General features: G+C 33.7%; 1 protein-coding gene across 59 annotated transcripts in view, besides 1 other annotated feature; it reads left to right on the top strand.

Moving 5' to 3' along the window:
- The window catches only part of ADGRL3 (adhesion G protein-coupled receptor L3), an 878,010-nt gene that overhangs the window by 788,618 nt on the left and 64,863 nt on the right, over positions 1-24,529 (top strand). For all 59 annotated transcript variants that reach the window (NM_001387552.1, NM_001322402.3, NM_001387522.1 and 56 more), the window contains 2 exons: positions 7,348-7,414; positions 9,231-9,322. In NM_001387552.1, the coding sequence (NP_001374481.1) occupies positions 7,348-7,414; positions 9,231-9,322 (159 nt within the window). The remainder of the gene's footprint in view (positions 1-7,347; positions 7,415-9,230; positions 9,323-24,529) is intronic.
- Positions 3,284-3,818: an enhancer, noted in NCBI's record as "OCT4-NANOG hESC enhancer chr4:62857945-62858479 (GRCh37/hg19 assembly coordinates)". NCBI's record gives its function as "activates a minimal SCP1, AML or CMV promoter by ChIP-STARR-seq in naive H9 embryonic stem cells {active_cell/tissue: H9 hESC(naive)}" and the evidence as "EXISTENCE:reporter gene assay evidence [ECO:0000049][PMID:30033119]".

Genomic DNA, 24,529 nt, shown 5'->3' on the forward strand with positions numbered 1-24,529 from the left:
TTTATGATCTGAAAATTGTTGTAAATTATCTATTAAACTTTACATTTGTCTTCCCAGCTCACTAGCTTAAGAGTATCTTTCAAAGGGGTACTTTCTCCTCTGTTAATTAAAAGACCCCAGACTTCCTTATTTTCACTTCATCATCTAACCAGCATAATCATGTAGGTAGAAAAGTGATTATAGATTTCTAAAAAATATCAGATTAGTGTATTATTCAAGAAAGAGGTTAGTTAAGGAAGATTGAACTTGATGGTATATGCAAGTTATATGCATAGATTTATTTAATTATTTTGTTCACAATTCCTTAGCATTTCAAATTCATAGAGAATCATATTTTCACTTAAGGAGTATTTTGCTAAGCAATTATTATATGATGTTATAAAATGTTCTTATAACACTTCATTGACATAAAGCATTTACCTTGCTGTAATGTTATCACCAGGTGTGTTTGACTATAGCTTGGCCAGTAGGAAATAATACAGATAATGAAGAAGTATTTGTTATTGACATATGAAGGTCATCATTCAATATGTCTACAGGGAGTACATGTGTATGTTTATATACTATTTTATTAAAGGCCAAGAACATTTTATGTGTATGTGTAGTAAATACTGAAGGGTTATTGTGTCACCATTTTATCATCCAGAAAGCCAATGATTGATTGGACATATACAATTATCATCATATCTAAGAATTCTGGGTTAAGCATAACTTTTTTCTATTAAGAAGTTATCCATACCAGGACTATATCAGAGATCATCAGGACCACTGTGCTGTTATTTTTAAAATGCAATGAAATGTTAGACTTAAAATTGAATATTAGACCTGAGTTCCTATTGGTACCAAAGAAGTATAACAACTTCCACAGCTATCATTAGACATCTAAAGATCATGTATAATATATGATGACTTTGTCCACTAGGATGGCTACAATAAAAGGTACATAGTGACAAACATTGTTGAAGATGTGGAAAATGAGAACCCTCATATATTGCTGGTGGCAGTGTCAAATGGTGTAGCTAGCTACTTCAGAAAATCGTTTCACAGATTTTCAAAAGGTTAAACATAGTTTTGATCCAGCAATTCTACTCCTAAGCATTTATAAAAAATAAAAATAAAAACTAAGGTCCATGTTAAAACTTGTATGCAAGAGTTTATAGCAGCATTATTTATGTTAGCCAAAACATGGGAATACCCAATGCCCATCAACTGATGAAAAGGTAAACTGTGTAATACCTAAATGATGGAGTATTTTTTGGCAATAAAAATGAAGTATTAACACATGCCATAAAATACATAAACTTTAAAATTATTATGTTAAGTGACTAAAGCCAGTTATAAAAGACTATATATTATATGTTCCCATATATATATAATGTCCAGAATAGGCGAATCTTTAAAGACAGAAAATATAGTGGTTGCTAAGATTGGGGAGACTGTGGATGGATCATTGTAGAGCAGTGGGAGGTTGAAAATGGGGAGTGACTTTTGGTGGGTACAGAGTTTCATTTTGGTAAAATGAAAATATAAAATTAGATTATGCTGATGGGTTCACAACTCTTAAATATACTAAAAACCTTGGAGTTATACTCTGTTAAATAAATGATTTATGATATATAAATCATATTGCAGTGAAGCTGTTTAATAATACTAAAAGTTTCACTAACATCGAGATGACCTTATATTTAGAAAGATCTGATATTTTGACTTGAGACCTGTTTCAGTAATCTGTGCATTATATACAGCATATAAATTTCTCACCTACTCATTGAGAATTTATAATTATCAACCAATCGACACCTTTAGTTGTTTTATAACTTATATCATTATTCTCTGGAGAAACATCTAGTAGCCACAGAGAGTTTGGAGTCAGGTAGACTAGAATAAAATTCAGTCTCAACTACTTATTATCTGTGTGGCTGTGGGTAGTTTACCCGAGTATCACATTCCTAATCTGTAAAGTGGGAGTTATTATAAGTACCTTGCAAGACTCTTCCGATGTTTGAAACTGTGTGTGTGTGTGTGTGTGTGTGTGTGTGTGTGTGTGTACGTATTTATGAATCAGTGTATATATGTATACAACGTGTATGTATGTATGTAAACAGTATGTATATATGTAAAATATATGCTAGACATCTATGTCTAGCATAGTTAAGTATTTATTAAATTAGACCTCTTATTATTACTGGTACTATTATTTGGCTGATACAAATAAAGAAATACAAACATGATCAGCAACGTTGTTTTCAATTACAAAATAGATTGTATTAAAAAGCAACCATTTACTAGAGTAGCGATTACAATTCTTGTTTTATTTTTACTTTCAGGTTCAGGGGTACGTGTGAAGGTTTGTTATATAGGTAAACTTGTGTCACGGGGGCTTCTTGTACACAATTCTTATGATATCATCTTCTACTAAGATGAGACCATGGCAATCACTCAACATTTAGTAGTATTAATAAATTATAATAGCCATAATTCTTATCTTTATAGTCCATCATAGAATGTAGGATGCATTTTGCTGAAAAAACTAATGAAACTCTTTTAAAAAATATAACATGTTGAGGAAATAAAGACAACACAATCTATTTTTGATATATTAGAAGTAGTGTTTAATTCTAAGATCCAAAACTGTAGCAGAACCTCAAATGCTAGTCTTGACCACCACTGATTGCACTCCATCCCTGTATCACTCCACCAACCTTTTTTAAAAATTCATGCACTTGCTTGCAAAGCATTTCAACATTAGATGTATGAATGTGCTGCAATGAAAATGGCATTAAAAAAATTCCTAACAATCATATTATGCAATAAGCTGGGGCCTAGATTTATTATACTTGGCATATATACCTGTCCCTTTTCTCTCTTCTGTCCTTCTTTTTTGCCCAGTTTATTCCTTTCTTATTCTCTCAATCTTGCCATATATATATAAATATAATACATTATATTTATAAAATACATTTATATATAAATATATTTATAATATTACATGATATATATAATATACATATATAATAAACATGAGTGTGGTCAGAATGCACTTGTTTTCTCAAGTCTCTTATGTCTTTTGTTACAGTACTTTTATAAATATAATGTATAGATGATATACATATGATTGAATTTCATTTATAAAAAAGAAATTGCCATATCTTAAAAATTAAATGTGAATGGCCAATCCAAATTACTAATTTCACAAATTAAATGTTGCTAGGTAGATAAAGGCAATTTTCAGATAAATTGTATTCTTCAATAGCAGGTCTGTCTTACCATTCACAAGCTGGACTTCAGTGTGTTTAGTGTGATAAATTGTTCTTCTAGCTTTGTCTCACCTTAACCAGTGTTTTTACCTTGTATCTAAATGTCATTGAATGGTGAGACTTATAGAACTGTGAGGTAGGATATATGTGCTCAGGCATGTATGTATACACCCCACATAACGTTCTTCTCCACCTTAAAGGCTGAATGAATTGTTTTAACAGCCACAGTGAACTGGGACAGGAATCATGCAAATTTTTAAGGTAGTTAATAGGAAGAGGAGGAAATACAGAAGGCTTTGAGAAAGCCAGCATGTGGCCAGAAACAACAGCAGGTGTGGCCATATGGCAATCAAATTAGAAAAGGGATTCTTGCCACACAGCCTTCCAGAAGAGAGTAAAGCCCCAGCAGCCCTCATGGAGGGATGATTTACTAAGTACATTTTACGTATTTTATATTGCCTCTTTCACTGTTCAATTCCAAAGGAAATGTAAATCCATTTTACCAAATAGATATAAAATTTTTTCTCAAAGAATAAAAATAATCATTTTGAAATGCTCCTTTACATTTAGAAAAGATCACTATGCCAAAAGCACATTTCCAAATAAAGCATTGGCTAAGCTGAGACCATTTTCAAAAAAGCAAAGTTTTGCAAGGCTATAATTTTACTTTAACAAAACATTTGGTGAGATTATTTAATATTTTAAAATTCCCTTAGTCCAAGACAACTGTTAATAATATAATTAAAGGTATTTGTTTAGATTCCTTAACTTGTAAAATAATCTTCTATAGAAGATTGTGAAGCACATTTCTTTTTCTGAAAATGTGTTTTAGTTCTCAGATTAGCTTTCAAAAACTTATTTGACCTACAAAATAATGAGAGCTGTATTATTAAGTCATTCTTAAAACGTATTATTACTATTATATCATGTTGCTATAATTTCAGCAGCATTCATGGGCTGCAGTTGTGTGTGTGTGTGTGTGTGTGTGTGTGTGTGTGTGTCTGATCTAGTCTGGGAAAATGTCCATGTTTTGGTTTTGTCCTTCATTGTTTTTTTGTTTTTGTTTCTGTTTCTTTTTTTCTTTCTTTCCTTTTTTTTTTTTTTTTTTTTGAGGTGAATTCTCATTCTGTCACCCTGGCTGGGGTGTAACGGCATGATCTTGGCTCACTGCAACCTCTGCCCCCAGATTCCAGAGGTTCTCCTGCCTCAGCCTCCCGATTAGCTGGGATTACAGGCATGCATCACCAGGTCCGGCTAATTTTTGTATTTTTAGTAGAGATGGGATTTCACCATGTTGGCCAGACTGGTCTCGAACTCCTGACCTCAAGTGATCTACCCACCTCGGCCTCCCAAAGTGTTGGGATTACAAGCCTGAGCCACATGCCCAGCCTCCTTCATTGTTTCTACCCTGAGGGAAAATACAATTACGATCTTTGTTCAGAACTTAGACCTTTGAAAATCTTCCTTCCCCAAGAGTTTCTTTTCTGTCTCTCTCTCTCTCTCTCCCTCTCTGTCGCTCTTTTTCACTCTCTCTCATACACACATACACCCTCTCTCTCTCTCTTTTATTAAGTTGGTGACAAGCTAGCCTATGGTCAGAATGAAGACAATGTTCATATTTCAACCTTGAATTCTCTGGTTTGTTTCTGCTTATATTTAGCACTACACTTCTGTTTCATATGACCAAGTTTTTTGAACACCGTCACAACAAAAGGGTAACTAATTATCCAAAAAAACCAATGGTGTTTAACTGAGCGTTGATTGCTTCACTAATAGCATTTTTTCGAACAGGTTTATTGTGTTTACTTTGAATAAAGAAATTATCTTGTCTACATAAAAAATGAGAACTTGTAGTCAGTTTCTTGTTAGAGTGCCTATTGTACTTCTACTGAAATTAGTTTACATGTATTTAACTTAATAGAAGAAGGCCAGACTTCGTTTTTCGTTTTTGTTTTGTTTTTGTTTGAGACAAAGCCTCACTCTGTTGCTCAGGCTGAAGTACAGTGCCGGGTTCATGACTCACCACAGCCTGGACCTCTTGGGCTCAAGCCATCCTTCCACTTCAGCCTCTCGAGTAGTTGGGACCACAGGCATGCATCACCATCCCCAGCTATTTTTTTTTTCTTTTCTTTGTAGAGATGAGGTCTCACTATATTGCCCAGGTTGGTCTTGAAGTCCTAGGCTCAAGCGATCCTCCTGCCGTGGCCTCTCAAAGTCCTGGGATAACAGGGGTGAGCCGCTGTGGCTAGCCTCTTCATTGTTTTAAAATGGGCTTTTTGTAGGCAATCTGTTTTGGTTCAAGGTTTTTTTTTTTGCTTAAAAATCTAGCTCTTAAAATGAGTTTAAACGTTATAGCAAAGTAAAGGAAGCCAAAAACCATAATAAACATCATTGCCTCCATTACTCAGATGTTAAAATTGTTAGCATTTTAGTGTATTTGCTGTCAGTAATTACTAACCTAAAACATATGGCTAAAGCCCATTTTGTTCACTTCTAGTGCTCTCTACTCTTATGTGAGAGGCAACCACTAACATGAGTTTGGTGATTTTTTTTTCTTTCCATTAAATAACATATATATATCCATCAAAAATATATTGTGTGTAGTTTTTAATGTCTGTGTGTGTATGTTTAACATGTATATATACACACTATATTATATATACATTTGATATAGTTTAGATTCTGTCCCGTACTTTTTTACTCAACTTTGGTTTTCTTTTTTTTTTTTTTGAGACAGGGTCTCACTCTGTCACCCAGGCTGGAGCACAGTGCCGTGATTTCAGCTCACTAAAGCCTCAACCGCCTGGGTTTAGGTGATCCTACCACCTCAGCCTCCTGAGTAGCTGTGACTACAGGGGCACACCACCATGCCTAGCTAATTTTTGCAGACACAAGGTTTTGCCATGTTGCCTAGGCTGGTCTCAAACTGCTGGGCTCTAGTGAATCACCCTCCTTGGCCTCCCAAAGTGCTGGTATTACAGATGTGAGACACCACACCCAGCCCCCAACTTTTTTTTTTTAATCCTATTGACATACGTAGATCTACTTCCTCCTTTTTAACTGTTTTATAACATTTCATCATATGAATAGAAAATATTGTATTTATTCATTACTTTTTTGATAGGCATTTCTAATTTCCCTTCTTAATAGATTTCTGTTATTCCATTATTGCTTAGGTTTAAGTAACTTTTATAATCACAGAAATATTTGAGTACTTAGGATTTCCATGTTTATATTATATAGCAAACCAGTCTTGAATATTTACCACTGGAGTTATTTTCTTCTGATGCCTCAATTATGGCAAAATGGCAAATAATTCAAGATATTATTTTTAACATCAAATGTAATTTGTTCAAAATTTACATTAATCTTTCTCATAACTAGTCACTTCCATTTTGTCTTCCTGTCATCCTGAAGAACGAAAATGTAATTTCCCAGAGGTTTTAAAAATTGGGGGAGTATTAAATGTAGCTGAAATTAAGTGATTAATAATTTACTTTTGGGTCATGAATCAACTTCATGGGATGCTAAGGATCATTTGCAACCCCAGAAGTATGAGCAGTAACAATGCACTTTTTAAGACTCCAGAAATCTCAAAGGTTGGCTGCCCAACCTAATTAAACTTCAATCTTCTGATACCAAATTTATTTCTTCTTTGTACCACATTTCCTCAGATCTTCTTGACAGGAAAATGTCACTTTGCCTGACAGCTGATAGACAGGTTATGTAGCACCATAATCGGAGAGAAAAGGATAGCTTAAAGCTACTTGATTTAATGGCTATGTGTATGGCTTTTTCTTTCTTTATCTTTTTTTTTTTAAAAGTTTCTATGACAGACACAAAAGGCCTTAGCAAATAGGCCCAGTGCCATATTTTCCTGCTTCCTCCAGGGCTAATTATCTTACTCCATCAATAGTGCTGTCAGAAATTGGGCACATAATTCAGCATTTAAATGAACAAGCAATGTAATATTTCCTGTCTCCCAGTGGAATGCTTTGCAGCTCACATTCTTCTCTGTCACAGGTTCACTCTTGATGTATGTCCCATACCCAGTCCTTGAATACCTTCTCTCCCTTGTGTTTCATTGCAGATGTTGGCTCCGACTTGACACCTACTTCATTTGGAGTTTTATAGGACCAGCAACTTTGATAATTATGGTAAGAATTCCTAATTAACTATGTGTTTCCCAGATCAAGAAGTAAAACTTTCACTATCCCAGTACTGACTGTCTTTAATTTACAGAGGTTAATTTGGGGAAAGCATGTACTTATTTGACCCTACATAATTCAAGCAATTAAACACTCATTATAGTCTACTTTTATGTTGTAAAATGGTTAATCAAAACAGGTGGGAGAAGAAAATATTCATTTGCAAAAGCTTATGGAGTGTTATAGCTACTCAAGGGTCCAATCCAACATAATACATTTGGTTTTATAGATATTTGAACAAGGATGACTCTAAGGTTGAAAACAGTGTATTTCCATTATTTTTCTTTTGGATAATTTGAATTGGGAACTGACAGAACTTAGAAAGGTGGGAAAACACCTGACTGTTCCTATCAGCTTTGTTTTTTATATGAATCTTGAAAACTTTAAAATTTAAAAGCAAAACTTTAACATTTTACTTGAGAATGGCACAATCACATTAAGCCTGCATTCTGGAATCATGCTTCCTTTTCTGTTTTTAGATCCATAATATTCTGATTTCAAGAATGGATTAACTTAATTTAGATAAAACTGTTAGTATAATTGCTTATGTACTTATAATTTTAAAAATACAAAGTTGCTATCCATTTTGTGAAAAAAATGTTAGCCTATTGACTTTGGATAAATATAGGTCTCCAGTTTCTTCTCTGAAATCTTTGGGACAAGATGTATTTTGGAATCAGAAATTTTTCAGACTTTGGAAAGATAATGTGGTACATATATTGCGTAATACACAATAACCCTAGTGAGGAATAGGCAGTTACCCAAAATCAAACACATCAACAAATACTCACAGTGGAGACTAGGCAGCACTCTGTAATCAAATACAGTATTTCAACAGAAAAAAAAAAAAAAAGGAAAGGTAAGAGCAAATAGTGGAAAGACCATGGACAGCCTTATGTCAATTCAAATTAGGTTTTCCCACCACATAGATTTACTTCATGTTAGGCTTTTTGGCCACTGAATGGATTTTTTTTTTAACAACCTTCATTTTGCAGATTTTTTGGATTTGGGGATGATTGATAAAGTATTGCGAACATGTATTTTTGAGAGTATTTCAGGAGGGCTTTTATTGCCAAGTTGTGGAATACATAAATTAATCAAGTGGTAAAGGGCAACTCACTATGTGGTTTTTTTATACAGTTTACTTGTGTGTGATATATGAAGTTTACATGAGAGCTTTCTGTTTTTCTGTTTTGTTTTGTTTCAAATTTTATGCTTTCTCTGTTTCCAGTGATATGACAATACCATTGGGGGTTTCCTTTACTTTAGTCCTCATTTATTGTAGCATCAGAATTTAAACAACATTTTATCATCCTTTTGAACTAGCTACACAAAAATATATTGATTTTAGTATTTGTATTTTTGTAATACAGTATTTGAAAATGTGTCACTAAATAATAAATTTAGATAAATGTTCAGAGTGTAGAAATAGTAACACACCTAAAAAAGTATTGTTTTTGTTTTGACATGCACTAGACTTTGAATTGTTTCAAAATTTCCACAGCATCACTCCAGCTGATGCTGATTTTATATTTGTGTGATTTGGCATAGCAGGCATAGTAGTGCTTTGTAACTCAGTAGTATCCCAATTCTCGAAACTGGCTTATTGCCTTTACTAAAACACTAGGCAGTCATCTACGATCCAATTCCTTTAAAAGTGTAGTGAGACCTAATTTCCCAGAACAACTCATGTGTTATAGAGAATAAATTTGCTTTTTTGTTCCTACTCCAATTATGCTACATAACACTACCTTTTGCATTCCAGCTTAATGTAATCTTCCTTGGGATTGCTTTATATAAAATGTTTCATCATACTGCTATACTGAAACCTGAATCAGGCTGTCTTGATAACATCAAGTAAGTGATTTTTATTTTTGTTTTCTATAGGTTGTGTTACATTTATACTCCAAACTATCCTTTCTATTATATCAAAATCTTATGACAAAAGGATAAAGAATATGGGTGTATTGTCTTTGCTAAATAAGATTATTGATTGACTATCAAAGTGACTTGATCTGCCTGAAAATAAGTATAATAGAGTTCTGTTTTCAAAGACACTTTTTCTCCTAAATTCTAATTTGGAACATGATAAGTTTTAAATATCTATATTCATTGTGTCCTGAAAACAAGCACAACGTTTCCATTTAGGGCAGGTTATTCTTTTTTTTTTTTTTATTTAATTTTGAGATGGAGTTTCGTTCTTGTTGCCCAGTCTGGAGTGCAGTGGCGTGATCTCAGCTCACTGCAACCTCCTCCTCCCCGATTCAAGCGATTTTCCTGCCCCAGCCTCCCGATTAGCTGAGACCACAGGTGCCCACGACCATGCCCTGCTAATTTTTTTGTATTTTAATAGAGACGGGGTTTCACCATGTTGCCCAGGCTGGTCTCAAACTCCTGACCTCAGATGATCTGCCTGCCTTGGCCTCCCAAAGTACTGGGAGTACAGGCACGAGCCACCGCACCTGGCCTGATTATTGTTTCTTAGAGCAATTACCGCATCACTTCCTCACACTCCATCTCCCCCTCCAGAGCAATGTGATGAGAGCCAGATGATGGTACCTACATGTACCAAAAGGGGAATTTTACATCACAGAAGAGGAACCCTGGAATTATGAATGTGGGCATTTATATAGGAGCTGTTAGATGGCTGCCATCCCCTTCTGAGAGAGATAAAGAAACCTTCCTAATGTAAATAGATACTTTGTAATATAAAAATATGGCTCTAAGTTTTACCTTCCTCTGAAATATTAACACTTAACCTCCTAGGAGCTAAAGCTAAATCTCTCCAGAAGTCTTTATCTATTTAATCATCTTTCAAGTTTGAAAGTTTGTTCTTTAACCCAAGTTCCACTTTTGTACGTTCAGAAAGTTCTGCCATGCAGAAATATGAAAATATTCACATTACTTTTCAACAGTAGTAGTACTTTACACAGGCAAAAAAAGTAGCTAATTTACATTTTCTGAAAAGAAAAATAGTTGCAGTCCTTGATATAACAAAAAAATTATCGTGTTTCTTTGGAATGTATAATATTTTAGAAAGATAGTAATATTTAGATGCATATTAGTTATTAAGATATGATATATTAAATTGCATTTTCATATAATTTGCCTATGCTGGTGTTATATTTATTAAACGCTTTTACTTAAATGAATGTATTTTCAGAAGTTTCATGAGGTAATCTGTGACTTTTCTGTGCTACTGACATTCTCCTTGAACTACCTCAGATAGCAATTATGTCACCCATTTCCCATCTTTCTACATTCGGTGCCTGACAGTTCCTGGCCCGTAGTAGACCCTCAATGAATGGTTACAGAATAAAGTAATATATTAAAGACTTTAGTGACTAAGGTGTATTGACATTAAGTAGTTAATTTTGTTGAAGGAATTATTTGTCTACATTAAATAAAAAAGATAACCAAGGAATTAGAAAAATTAAAATATAGTGGTGCAAAATAGACATTATCTACAATGAGTGATAGTCTTTTGTAATTCTCAATATTACTTAGTTGAGATAATAGTCATTGTATTGTTTAATTATGTACAATTAAACTGTCCTTCTAAAGTACAGTGTTGGTTTCTTAGACTATTTGTTCCTGATGAAATTGAATTTGCATAAATTAAATAGGCACATAAATTTATCATATTGTACTTTTACCCACGTTAGCACAAATTACATCTTTGTACCTATTTTGTAGTATAAAATAAAACATAAGTAATACTTTATTTATTATTTATATTATGTATTTAAATACTATCAGAAATAAGGGAATAAGACTTTAACATTTATGTAGCACTATGTTATAAATTAGCAAAAAGGATCATTCTTTGTCCTATATTTCAAGTATACTTTTTAGGTAATTTTTTTTTCTTTTTTACTTTTTTGTCTAATTCAACAAAAGGTAAAGACTTTTGCTTACCTTTATGATTTGTATTTAGTACTGTCACATAGTTTAAAATATCAATTTGTTTGTATAATGTTCATATGTATTTCTTTAGGTAATGTGGGTGAATCTTTATGATATCATTGTTTAGAAAAATAATTAAACATGGAAAAAATCAATAATTATATTTAGTGGCATTGGTAGCATCAAGTTTTATATTACAAAGCAAATAAAGTCTTAAATGAAAATATCTTAATTTCAATTATGTCTAAACTGTTTTCTAGGTTATATTCTTTGGAAAGTATTTAATCTTTCTGTGGCTTCCTCTCTTTGAAATGGGTATAATAATGACATATACCTGACCATTAAATGGGCAGAAGAACATAAACCTTTGATGGTGCTTTTTAAAAAATTTAGTAAATGAAGAAGATAAATTGGGTAGTTGTTAGAAGGGGTACAGAGGATTTTTTTTCTTTGTTTTAATTTTTATTTATTTATTTTTTTTTCAAGAGGTAGAGTCTTGCTCTGTTGCCCAGTTTGAAGTGCAGTAGTGCCATCAAAGCCCACTGCAGCCTAGACCTCCTGGGCTCAAGATACCCTCCCACCTCAGCATCCTTAGCAGCTGGAACCAGAGGCATGCACCATCACACCTGGCTAATTTTTTTGTGTTTTTTATAGAGATGGGCTTTCACTATGTTACCCAGGCTGGTCTCGAACTCCTGGCCTCAAGCTATCCTTCCGCTTCAGCCTCCTAAAGTGCTGGGATTACAGGCATGAGCCACTGCACCTGGCTGAGGATGGTTTTAAGTTGAAAGAATTATGAATATAGATATATTGTTGGAAAAGAACCAGTGATAGAGAAATTAAGAATATAGGAAAGGAGAATTACTTTTATAGTTGTGATCTGAGGTTGTGTAGAGAATGTGATCCAGAGCAGTGGTAGAGCAATTCCACTACATTGGATTTCAGGAAGGACATTTTTCCAGTAAGCTAAAAGAAGCCACACAGGAGGATCCGTTTCCACTGAGACTGGATGGAATAAATAACAATAGGTGTGATGCAGATATGTTGGTGGAACTGGGGTAGCTCAGTGAATTGAGGGATTTCTGCCTAGTCTCCTCAATGAGGTAGGAAAGATAGTCTTTGGCAGGATAACGGGACATGTTGAAGAAAAACAACAAGGAAGGTATCTCCAGAAAATATTCCTTAATCTTTTCCAGAATCTGAAGAAAATTTCATTTTTATTTAAAATACATTATATTAACAATTTAACAAGTGGTTGTAAAGAAATCAGCAGGGCATAATTGCTAAAGAAAAAAGGAGTTAAGAGGAGTAATAATGATTTTGAACATTAAGTAAAACTGAAAATCTGGCATGTTTTTAAACAAGAATAAGGCTCTGTATAATATGTATTCAAAATGGTATAGTAAATGTGAGAGTGTTCGCTTTAAAGATATAAGTATCATTTATCTGGAAAACTTTTTTTTAGTATATTGGGGAAAGCATTAAAGTTAATGTTTACTTGTATTTTTCAAAAATGTTTGTAAAATGGTGAACAAGACAGGCCCCCTTGTTCAATTCATTAAGAATAAAAAATCACCACGTAAAGCCCTTTGGAAGTCAGTGTCTTTCTAAAACAAGTCATTCATTCAGTTACCAAGTATTTGTTGCTTTGATTATACACGTTCTTTCACACACATATATCTCCTTTATCTAAAATGTGTTTGCTTCTCACCATATTCACTGCCACTGTTTTCTTTAAGCCACTATCATCTTCAGAATCACTGCAGTGGTCTCCTAACTTCTCTGTCCACATCAATTCTTGTCCCTGCCTTCACTGGCTAGAGAGATCTCTTGAAAAACTTAAATCTGATCATGCAACACTCTGAGGTAAAACTCTTCAAAAGAGCCCATTACTCTTAACTGAAGGTCGGACTTCCTGCCAAGGCCCATTAAACCTCCCTGATCTAGTTGCCGTTGTCTTTCTTCAGCCTCATTTTATGCATTTTGGCCCTCTGGCCCTTCTAGATATGCTCTCTTTTGCCTCAGATCTTATCTCTGCTGTTTCTCTACTCACTTTCTTTTCCCTAACGCTATGACTGGCTGACTCCTATTTATCCTAATTAATTAAATTATTATTTTATTATCTTAAAAATTAACTTTTTAAAATTCTAAATTTATTGCAAGTCATCATAGAAAACCCCTTTTGATTTTAATAGAGAACATTTAATTGGTTGGCTCATTACTATATTAAAGAATTCTCTAGAAAAAATAATAAAAAATAGAGTGAAGTAATATAGGTAATATGATTACAGGGGAAATGAGGTATGCCAAGTCTTGGATTTAACTAAAAAAGTAATTAAAATTAAATAATACATGCCTGTATTATTTGCTGCTTGCTTACTTGTCCTTTGTCTCTGTTTCATCCAAATAGGTAATTATAGTTAGAGGAAAGAATTCCAATCATTTGAATATTCTCATTGAGTTTCTGACAGGTCAAAATCAGTGCTTACAATAATCATAGCAAAACTCTAACCTAATTTAAAAATAGTATATGTAAATATGAATAAACCTGTTATTGAATTGTTACCAGCACAAAATTAACTTACAGTATGGCTGAAGTACTATGACATGTGAAACATTTGTAAGGAGCCTTTAGAACTCTCTTGACATTTACCTTCAAAATAAAAATTGATAGTTTCTCTAATCACCCACTTCTATTATTGAAAAATATTAATTAACGAATGTATTTCAAAATAATTTGCTTAATAACATCTCAAGTTATTTTGAAGAAAAAGTGAAATAATGGCCATTTTAAGACGTAGAAAAGAACATTGGTGCCTATGTGAAGGGAACACGGAATCTACCAGGCTTTGCTTTTCTGTATCCGTCCCTTTGCGCCTTCTCATCAAAGGACTTCTGCATAAAGACTTATGATGTCACCGGGTCATGTTTTCTGATTTCTAGTCTCTCTCCTTAGGTTTTATATGAGTGATAGGTTGGCAAAGACTCTGTCAGATGGTTTAAACAAGTATTTGCTTAAAGATACACCTTTTACTTTTTTTTCTTCTTCCCTAGTCTCTAATTGTCAAGGAAGAAATAATGGTCAAGGAGAGTAATAACTTGAGTGTCAAACCCAGTTGGGTTTGAATTTCTGTTCAGTCCTGTAATGTTTACACGACCTTGGCAAGTAACATCAGAGGTCTGGGTCTTACTTTCTTCTCTGAATGGGGAATAATTATACCTATTTCATAGAGCTTTGTGATAATTACATGAAATCACATATGTAAAGAATACAGCATATAATTTGTTGCCCGTAGAGGATGGTTTGAATATTTTTAACCACTCTGTATGGAAATGCCCTGCTGCCTTTGATTCCTTGTGTTTTTAATGGTGAAGCTTTGCTCAGCCTCTATCAAAATCCCATTAGAATTTGACTGGTTTTGTTTACCATATGGTATCATGAAGAATTATGCATGATATGATCCTTTCTTTTTTTAAGCCAAACTTATCTTATTATGAAAGAATTGGCTCCAGGGGTGGAATGCTCATTTGATTAATAAATAGCTAGTTCTGTTCTTAGTTCTGGAGGAAAAGAATAGTATCCTCAGTGAGCTTGGACACCTGCCATATGCTAAGAAATCTAAGAAGGCTTCTGAATCGCTTCAGGGATGAATAGTAAAATACCTTACCAGTACCCATAATAACTTATTATATTTCTTAAGAAGGTAACCTTTACTTTAAGAAACATGTGTCTAAATGTTAGTAAAAACAAGTCAGAATTACATTCAGCTTGATGAGTATTATATTAGTATTTTGTGGTTGAGGTCTATAAAAGTAAAGGCAGAAAATCAAATGGACATATTCCTGAAAAATACAACAATATCGCAAGAATATTTTAATGCTTTAATTTTTCAATTTCACATTAATATAATGTATATACTTATGAAAAATGCATCTTAATGTTAATAATAAATATATATAGCCTACTTGCTAAAATTATCTCGTTTCTATACTATAGTCAAAGCAGTAACTTAAAAGTTTAAGCCTTTATGAGAACAGTAAATCTAGCTCTGAGTTGTATAGTAAATAAAAATTTCATCAATTGCAGAGTTGTCTGGATGAGTTTGAGGAAAATTTTTAGAACTTTCTTATTCTCAAATACTAGTTACTGATAAAAAATACTGATATACCGATTTTTATTTTTAAGAAGGAGGCTCAAAATTGTCTATGCAAACAAAAATATTAGCTTATATCTCTATATATTTTATTCATGGTTTGTCTTTCACCATCAAAGCTATTCAATTAAAATCAAGATTTTACAGATTTCTAATTATTTTAAATATTTAGAGATAGTACGTTTAAAAACTGTTACACGTTTTGTAAAAAAGATTATTAGGTCAACATGCTATACTGAAGATGTGTTTTCCCAAATTTTAAAAATCAAATGTACTTCTCCATGCCCATGTATATACTGTGAACACTTTAGTTTTAAGAATTAGCTAGAAAAAATAATACATTTATTTTATTCATTGTAATAAGATAGAATCATTTTTAAAGAGAATTCTGAAAGTGAATTTAATTTGTCTGTTTTCCCATTTTTTTCTGTCTTCCTCTATTTCTTTGATCTGTGTTTAAACATTACTAGAAATCACCATAACAATATCATAAGCAATCCAAGTGTATTTAAAGAGTAATACAATCCAAACAACATTGTGTGGAGCTTTGTGTATTTTTAATGACACTACTAGACTTGCTTCAGACAAGTTGAGACTTTCCTAAGGTAATAGTGGGTCCTTTGCTGATTGCCTTAATTTTAGCATTTAAATGCATTTAGCAATCACTTCTTTGAAAACTGAATTTCAGTCACTGATTCAAAAAGCTGTTCATTCTGCAAGTGTTATTGTCCATCTCATTGTATCCTTTATTTTAGGCTATAGTTTTAAGTTTTCTGAAATGTAAAAGGGCTGCTCTCTTTTTTGGCTTTTCTTTAAAATGCATTAAATTTCCCATATGATCTTTCTGTGAATCAGGGTTTATGCATAAGTGTATTTAACATATTTTGTCGACTGGAAGCTCACATTTGAGAAAACTGGTTTGAAGGATGACTGCCATAGGCACAATGGAATTGTTTTACATTAATCCTTGAGATCAAATTATAGTTTCACTTTTCCCCAAAATAATTAGGTTTCTATCAGATATAGGAGAGTCAAGTGCTAAGGATGAGAAAGTCTAAAAACCTATCTAAGGGGAAAATGTCTTCTTCATAATGAAAACATAAAAATTAGCAGGTTCTCTGTTCTTTTTATAGAGCTTAGACTCAGATTACCTTTATATCCCACAAGAAATGTGCAGTCAGACTATGGAAATGCTTAAAAATCTGAATTAATTTAAACTAGCTATTCATAAGACTATAGTTTTTCCCCCAAATGGTGAAGAGTAAGATTTCATAAGAGTAGAATAAATCAGAGAATAGTTACAATAATTAACTTTTGTGTTCCATGTTATTCACATATTTTAATTTTAATTTTAATGTATGAACTTTGATTTGATTTTATCCTTGTTTATTAATTTATTCAACAAATGAGAAATATGAAAATTGTGGATATGTTTCAGAGTTTACAAAATTTGCTAGTTTTTATTTTATTTATATATATACATACATATATATACACATACACACACACACACACACACACACACACACACACACATATATATATATATATATATATATATATATTTTTTTTTTTTTTTGAGAAAGGGTTTTGCTCTTGTTGCCCAGGCTGGAGTGACTGCAGTGACATGATCTCGGCTCACTGCAACATCCACCTCCTGGATTTAAGGGATTCTCCTGCCTCAGCCTCCCAAGTAGCCAGGATTACATGCATGTGCCATCATGCCCGGCTAATTTTTTGTATTTTTAGTAGAGATGGGGTTTCACCAAGTTGGCCAGACTGGTCTCGAATTCCTGACCTTAGGTGATCAGCCCGCTTTGGCCTCCCAAAGTGCCTGAGCCGCGGAGCCCAGCCTACATTTTTATGTAGATTCTAAGAGAATGGAGTGGAGTGTGACTCCAGGGTTTTTGGCTTGGGGTACTAGAACAGTGAGTGGTTATTACTGAAATGCAGAAAACTGTGGAGGTTTCACTTTTGGGGGTAGGACAGTTTTTGTTTTTGTTTTTGTTTTTTTGCAAGATAACTTGCTGGACATCTCAGTGCAGATGCTGAGTTGGAAGTTGGAGTAGTGAAAGCTGAAGATACAATTTGGAATCATCAATGTATAGATTTTTTTTTTTTTTTTTGCATTTAGTGTTACTTATGTTTTATTTATTTTTGGTATTGGTTTCACTTTATATATCTATTATTTTCTATAATAGCAAATTATCCTGGTTTTCTAAAATTTAAGGCAGTTATATATTTACTTTTAAAACATTAAGAAAATAAAAGTGAGATGATTTGAAAAAAATACAACAGTGAAAATGGCATAAAGATAGAGCAAACAATTGAAATGGTGACTTTCCAGCCAAACTAATTTCTCTCACTAGTCACTAAAAAGTATGTTTCTGTTAGAATGGCCACTGCTGGAAGTATCAAATGCTGACCACTATGGTGTCCTAAATCATAGTGGCACTGGTGATACATGAAACTTAAAATTCAGAAGTAAGTGTTCTAGAGTTGGTTCAAAAGCTCAATAATGTCAACAAGGACCAAAGCTCTTACATCATCCTCAGAATGCTGGCTGTTGTCATTCACTGTATCATCTTGTGGTCCAAGAATGACTTCTTCAGCTCCAAGCATCATTATATCCTTTCTTGGTTGCATTGAAAAGCAGGAAAGAAGAGATAAGAGAAGGGATTCTCTTCATGAGCCTTTCCTCATGGGCTTGTCTCCCATGTTCAGGATGTAAAATATTCCTCAGAAGCCCCTTGCTGGTATCACATGTCTGAATCAAATGACCACTCCCGGCTGCAAGGGAATCTGGGAAAGCAAAGGTCTGGCAAAGGGGCTGTGGGAACAGGACATTCTCAACATTTGCAGAGCTCAGGGCAAGAGGACAAAATGATTATATATATATATATATATATATATATACACACACACACATATATATATACACGTATATATATATACACATATATATATATATACACACACATATATATACATATATGTGTGTGTATATATATATATATGTATATATATCTCCTAACCTCCTCTGGTGATAGATTACACCTTCAAAACCACTTGGAAGATCAAGTATGAGTTTAGAATCCTTTGACATCTTAGAGTTCCATCCAGGAGCCAGGATGTGGCTCCTGGCTCACTGCCTGTCTTCCTTCTCTTCCTGCCTCCAGCTAGATACCACAACATGTGGGGCCTCATGCACAGGTATGTGGACACTGTGCCCCACACATTCAAGCTCTTTCTGCCTCTCCCAACCAGCCACCCCTTGGCCACTCCTCAAACCTAGACAACCTTGGGAAAACGGGTCAGGGTCGATTTTATTTTAAACCCATGAGACTGGGTAAGATATTGAGATTGAGGGTAGATAGTGAAAATAAGAGGACTAGGGACTGTAACCCTGAGACACTCTGACTTTTAGAGATCTTAGAAGTGTAGAACCTGCAAAGTGGATTGAGGAGTAGCCAGTGAGATAGGAAGAAATCTACAGATCCTGGAAGCTAGGTGAATCTAGCTTTTCAAATAAGATGGGAACTTAGACTTGACCACTGAATTTAGCAACATGGGGATCTTTGGTGAACTTGACAAAGGCTGTTTGGCAGAGCCATTGATGAAGACTTATTAGAGTGGGGTGAAGGGAGAATGGGAGGGGAGGAGTTAAAAACCACAGGTAAAGACAATCTTTTCAAGTCTTTTGCTGTAAACAAGAGCTGAGAAATGTAGTAGTGGACAGAGATCTTAGGTTGGGGAGGTTGTTGTTGTTGATAATAATTGGTTTGTTTTTAAGCATGAGATATGTTACAGTCTCTTCCTTTTAATTTGGTAAGAATACACAATTAGTTGATATTGAAAAGAGAGTAGAAATTGTATGGCATCTGGCATCTACACGAGTAGGCAAAAGAGTATGGGGTATAGTGTACAAGCGAAGGCTGATCTTATATAAGAAGGACGCAGACAATACCATTATTTCTTTATGTGATAAAATTATGACTGAGACCGGCTAACCTATTGACCAGTAGATGTTTTCTTTTAAAGTAGTGCAATAAATTATCATGGTTCATAAGTATTCAGTGTGTTGAAAAACGTTTATCTACCTAGAAAAGAATTATGTAATATTGAAAAATATAACATTATTATGAAGTTGTTTTAATCTTCTATTTTTCTCCTTCATATTAATATATAATAATATATTTACAGGTTAAAAATTAATATTCCAATTATAAAATCTATTTATATCTATATGTATATATGCATGTGTGTGTATATATAGATACAAATATACATATATATGCATATATATAATCAAAATAGATACACGCATATCCAGGCACACAGTCATGTACTGCATAATGACATTTTAGTGAATGACAATCGCATGTATGATGGCGATCTCATAAGATTGTAATACCATTTGTTTCCTGTACCTTTCTTATGTTTACATTTGTTTAGATATACAAATACTTTTGTGTTACAGTTTCCTACAGTATTCAGCCCAGTAACATGCTATACAAGTTTATAGCCTAAGAACAATAAGCTTTACCATATAGCCTAGATGTGTAGTAGGCTAAACCTTTTAAGTTTGTGTAAGAACACTCTATAATCACACTACTACGAAATCACCTAAGGACACATTTCTCAGAATATATTCCCATCATTAAATGACACATGACTGTATATGCTTTCTAGAAAAGGCAACTGTCGAAAGGCTTTATTAACAAATAAAAATCAGTTAGATGTCAAACACATTTAGTAGCTTTGTTGTGTAATTTCATGAATTTAAGAAACTAAATAAATTATATCTTCTGGAGAAAAATTATTTGTCAATGAAAATTACCTAAGCAACACAATTCATTTTCTTCAAGCAATAATAAGGCACACATTTTGATACCTTATAATTTTTTATTTAACTATCTTTCTAAAAATAAAATATAGAGTTATATATTATAAAATTTTATGAAGCGTACTTTATAAAATAGCTGTGTGTAATACATCTTTTTGGACATTAAATGTACACTCATTGTTATTTGTCAGAAATAAATGGTTATATATAGAGAAAAAAGAGACTAAATAGAAATGTACTGAAGTTAATAATGATAATGTTTTAGTGCCAGGATTATGCATAATTTAACATTTTCTTTTTTAAGCACTTGCATGGTATTTTCTGACACCACTTCTGAACCAAATACATGCCATTTTTTCACACATCTACCAGTGCTCCAGCAGCAACTGGTGTCCAACAATGCAATTCAGTTTTGAAACTAACTCTCAGGATTAGTGCAGACCCTACAGGTTAACAGCTCTGTCCCTCAAGACCGCCCCCACTTTAGGCAGCAGGTGCCAGTAGAGTGCCCAGGATGCCCACATTTTGCTCAGGCCACTACAAATTCAGGAGTCCCCATGACCATCCCTCAAATTTAATCGTTTAATAGAACAATTCTGAACTTAGAAAAGTGCTGTACTTCTGAGTACAGCTTTATTATAAAGCCTACAACTCAGAAACAGCCAAATGGAAGAGATGCACAGGGCAAGGTATGGAGGAGAAGGCATGGTTTTCATGCCCTCTCCAGGAAGCCACCCTCCCACACATGTAGATGTTTTCACCACCCTAGAAGCTTCTTGAAACCCATTCTTTGGAAGTTTTCATGGAGGTTTTATCACATAGGCATGATTGATTCAACATTGGCTGCTCTATCTCCAGCCCCCGTTTTTTCCCCAGTGATTGTGCAGGAGGGGAGAGGAGGCTGAACATTCTACCCTTTTAATGTTAGCTTGGTCCTTCTGCGAACGAGGCCCCATGCTGAAGTTATCTAGCCTCCCGCCATCGCCTTACCACACACCTTCCCCCTCAACACACCTAGTCATCTCATTCGTATGCAGAAGGCACATGGAAGATTCCAAGGGCTTTAGGAGCTCTGTGCCAGGAATCAGGTACGAAGAACAAATATTTATTTTTTATTACACCATTTCACTCTTGAGTTTTCAGAAGCTAGTATGATGAATACATAGTACTCTTATAAAAACATTTTATTTTAAAAATATCTCACCCTACATTATGTCTGGAAATATATTTGTGAAAGAACAATATAAGAATGTCATTTCCCTGAAAGGATTATCCTTCTATATTTTTAAGCTGTGAAACAGTTTTTAAAAAATCAAGTCTAATATTCTATTGTTAATATGCTACTGTGGCTATATCTACGTAATGAAAATTTAATGAAGTCTTATGAAAAGGGAACATTTAATTATTGTAATTTATCTGTCTTCAAATTCTTTATGAGGTAGAACTCACTCTAATATTTAGAATTGCTCTTATTTATATCATTAAAATATTAGTGAAAGAATCCAGTTATGATTCAGGGATAAAATTTTTAAAACTTACTCTGTTTTTAACTTTTTTATTCACTTTTAAAAGGTAATTGCTGTTTATTTACCTTGGATTTTAAACTTTAGAATAAAGTTTCAAAACCAAGTTCATATCTTTAATGATATTTAGTTTCAACTTGTAAAATTGAATCTCATGCGCTATAGGTAAAACTCAAAAATATCCTAAAATGACTTCATAAACTTTTTAGCTTATTTATTTTAGCGTAGTTTCAGCTCCTAAACAACTACACAAGAAATAAGATTTGGAACTGTACATTCAAAAATAAAGTATTTGATTCCATAGGGGAGAAAAAATTTCTTTTCTCACCCATCACTAGGTTCATGGCTGAGACTCCTATGACTAAAGATTAACAAGATAAATGCATACAAATTTATTTATTACAAGTTTTACATGTTATGAGAGCTTTCGGAAATGGAGACTCAAGGAACACAATTAAACTTGGGAATTTTTTTAGTAAGTTTGATGAAGAAGTGGATATATGTGGAGAAATATGATTGGAAGACAAAAGCTTACGATTCAATGTTAATAAACTGAGGAGAGCTTAGCAAGGCCTTTTTATTCAGATTATTGTGGGTGTCTCTATGTCTTAGAGTATAAAAATGTTCCTTTCCTCTCGGTATAGGGCGGTTATCTCTGGGGTAAGTGTCTTATGATCTACTTCAGAGAGAAAGGTCAGAGAATTCTTTTATGGTCTATTTCAGAGGAGAAGGGTGAGGGGAACGTCAAAGAGACCTTCCTACTTTTGCTGTTTTCTCAAATCCAAAGGCATCATATTTTAGCGTAGTATGTCTGGATCTGTATCAAATAAATCTCTTTCTAATTATTTCTAAGCATGTCTTTTTTTGTTTGTTTGAATACGGTTTTCAGAAAAATGAACAAAACTTTTTTAAAATATAAAAGCCAATTTTTCACCAGTTAGTTATTACTTAAAGTCAAAGTTCTTAAAAGTCTTAATCAGAAAATACAATTTCTTCTAAAGGCTAAGTGAAATAAACATGAAATCTCTTTGATAACATAATCTTGTGGTTTTTAGGAGTTTGGCTTGGCTGCTATAACAAAAACCAGCTAGGAATACATTTTTTTTTCCTAACATAGCTTTCTTTAAAATGACACAACTTATTTTAAATTGAGGGCTTTATTTAGTACAATGATTATATGTATTAATATATATAATTTTATGTGAAAATTGACCAAAATTTGCTGACTTAAAAAATTTGTTGTGAGAGAGCTTGAATAAGTGATGTTAGACTGAAAGACTTTGGGCCTCCAAATTCAAACCAACCTCTTTTTAAAGCTTCTTGGAGATAAAGTGAAACTTTGTGAGGCATTGAAGTTAAACATTCCACTGTATTTTGAGTCACATACTCAAAACGTAGTCATAGATTCTGAAGTAAAAGACAGGTGCTCCCTGGTTCTGCCCTCATATCAACTGTAATCTCTGCTCCTGATTAAACATCAACTTGAATTTTAAATATTGTGTCTATTTGGAAAATGTGTGCAAAATAATAAGAATAGTTAGTTCATTGACGTTTTACTATGTGCTAGGCACTGTTCTAAGTTCTTTACATGTGGTAATTTATTTAATCTTTGCAATAATCCTTTGAGGTTTCTGAGAGGTTAATTAACTCACCTCAAACCTCAGAGCTAGTTAGTGCCAGAACCAGGATTTCAACAGATAGTCTGGCTTCACTGTCCATTTACTTAACTCTTAGATATACTCCTTGTCACATCAAATTGCATACCTATAAATCTAGTAAAATGTGTTTAATTTTTAAGAGATTGCCATTTCAGTAAACATATCAGTTTAGATAATTTTCTAGGCCATGCTCAAAAAGCTTTAATCCTGATATTGACTGGATAGCAATGATCGTTAAGGGCCCTGTGTTTAACACCTATGATTATATTAATATTTTAGATTATGAACTATAAAATCTGGCCAGCAGAATGCAATTATGAGGTATCTTAGTGTACAGTAATCTTCTCAGGATGAGAGACAGGGATTTCAGCGTTATTAGTATGTAAAGTTAATTACTGAGTGAAACTACTCAAGAAGAATATTGTTCTGGTGAAGATGACTTGGGAAGAAAAGTCACTGAGGTAAATGTAAAAACAACATGTCATGGAAGCCAAGAATCAAAGGGAGCAGCAGCTGGGGATGAGTTTGGGAGCTGTACAAGAAATTGACAGGTTTGGACAGTGCAAACATTTGCGACTGTCAGATTGTTTCCATTTTTTCAAGAAACTAGGAAATATTCAGCTGAGGGAGTTGTGATGGGAAAGAGGTTTGGAATTCTGAAATATTCCTGATGGGGAACGGGAAATCATATGCACTGGGGAAGTATGATTGGCCTTCAGATATTGTTAATTGCCATTAGAAATTTGTTGTTATAGGCTGGGCACCGCAGTGGCTCACGCTTGTATTCCCAGCACTTTGGGAGGCCGAGGAGGGCAGATCATCTGATGTCAGGAGTTCAAGACCAACATGGTCTCACCAACATGGTGGAACCCCATCTCTACTACAAAAATACAAAAATTAGCCAGGCATGGTGGCACGCACCTGTAATCCCCGCTACTCAGGAGACTGACGCAGGAGAATCACTTGAACCTGGGAGG

Source organism: Homo sapiens, chromosome 4, assembly GCF_000001405.40.
Source record: "Homo sapiens chromosome 4, GRCh38.p14 Primary Assembly".
Classification (NCBI taxonomy): domain Eukaryota; kingdom Metazoa; phylum Chordata; class Mammalia; order Primates; family Hominidae; genus Homo; species Homo sapiens.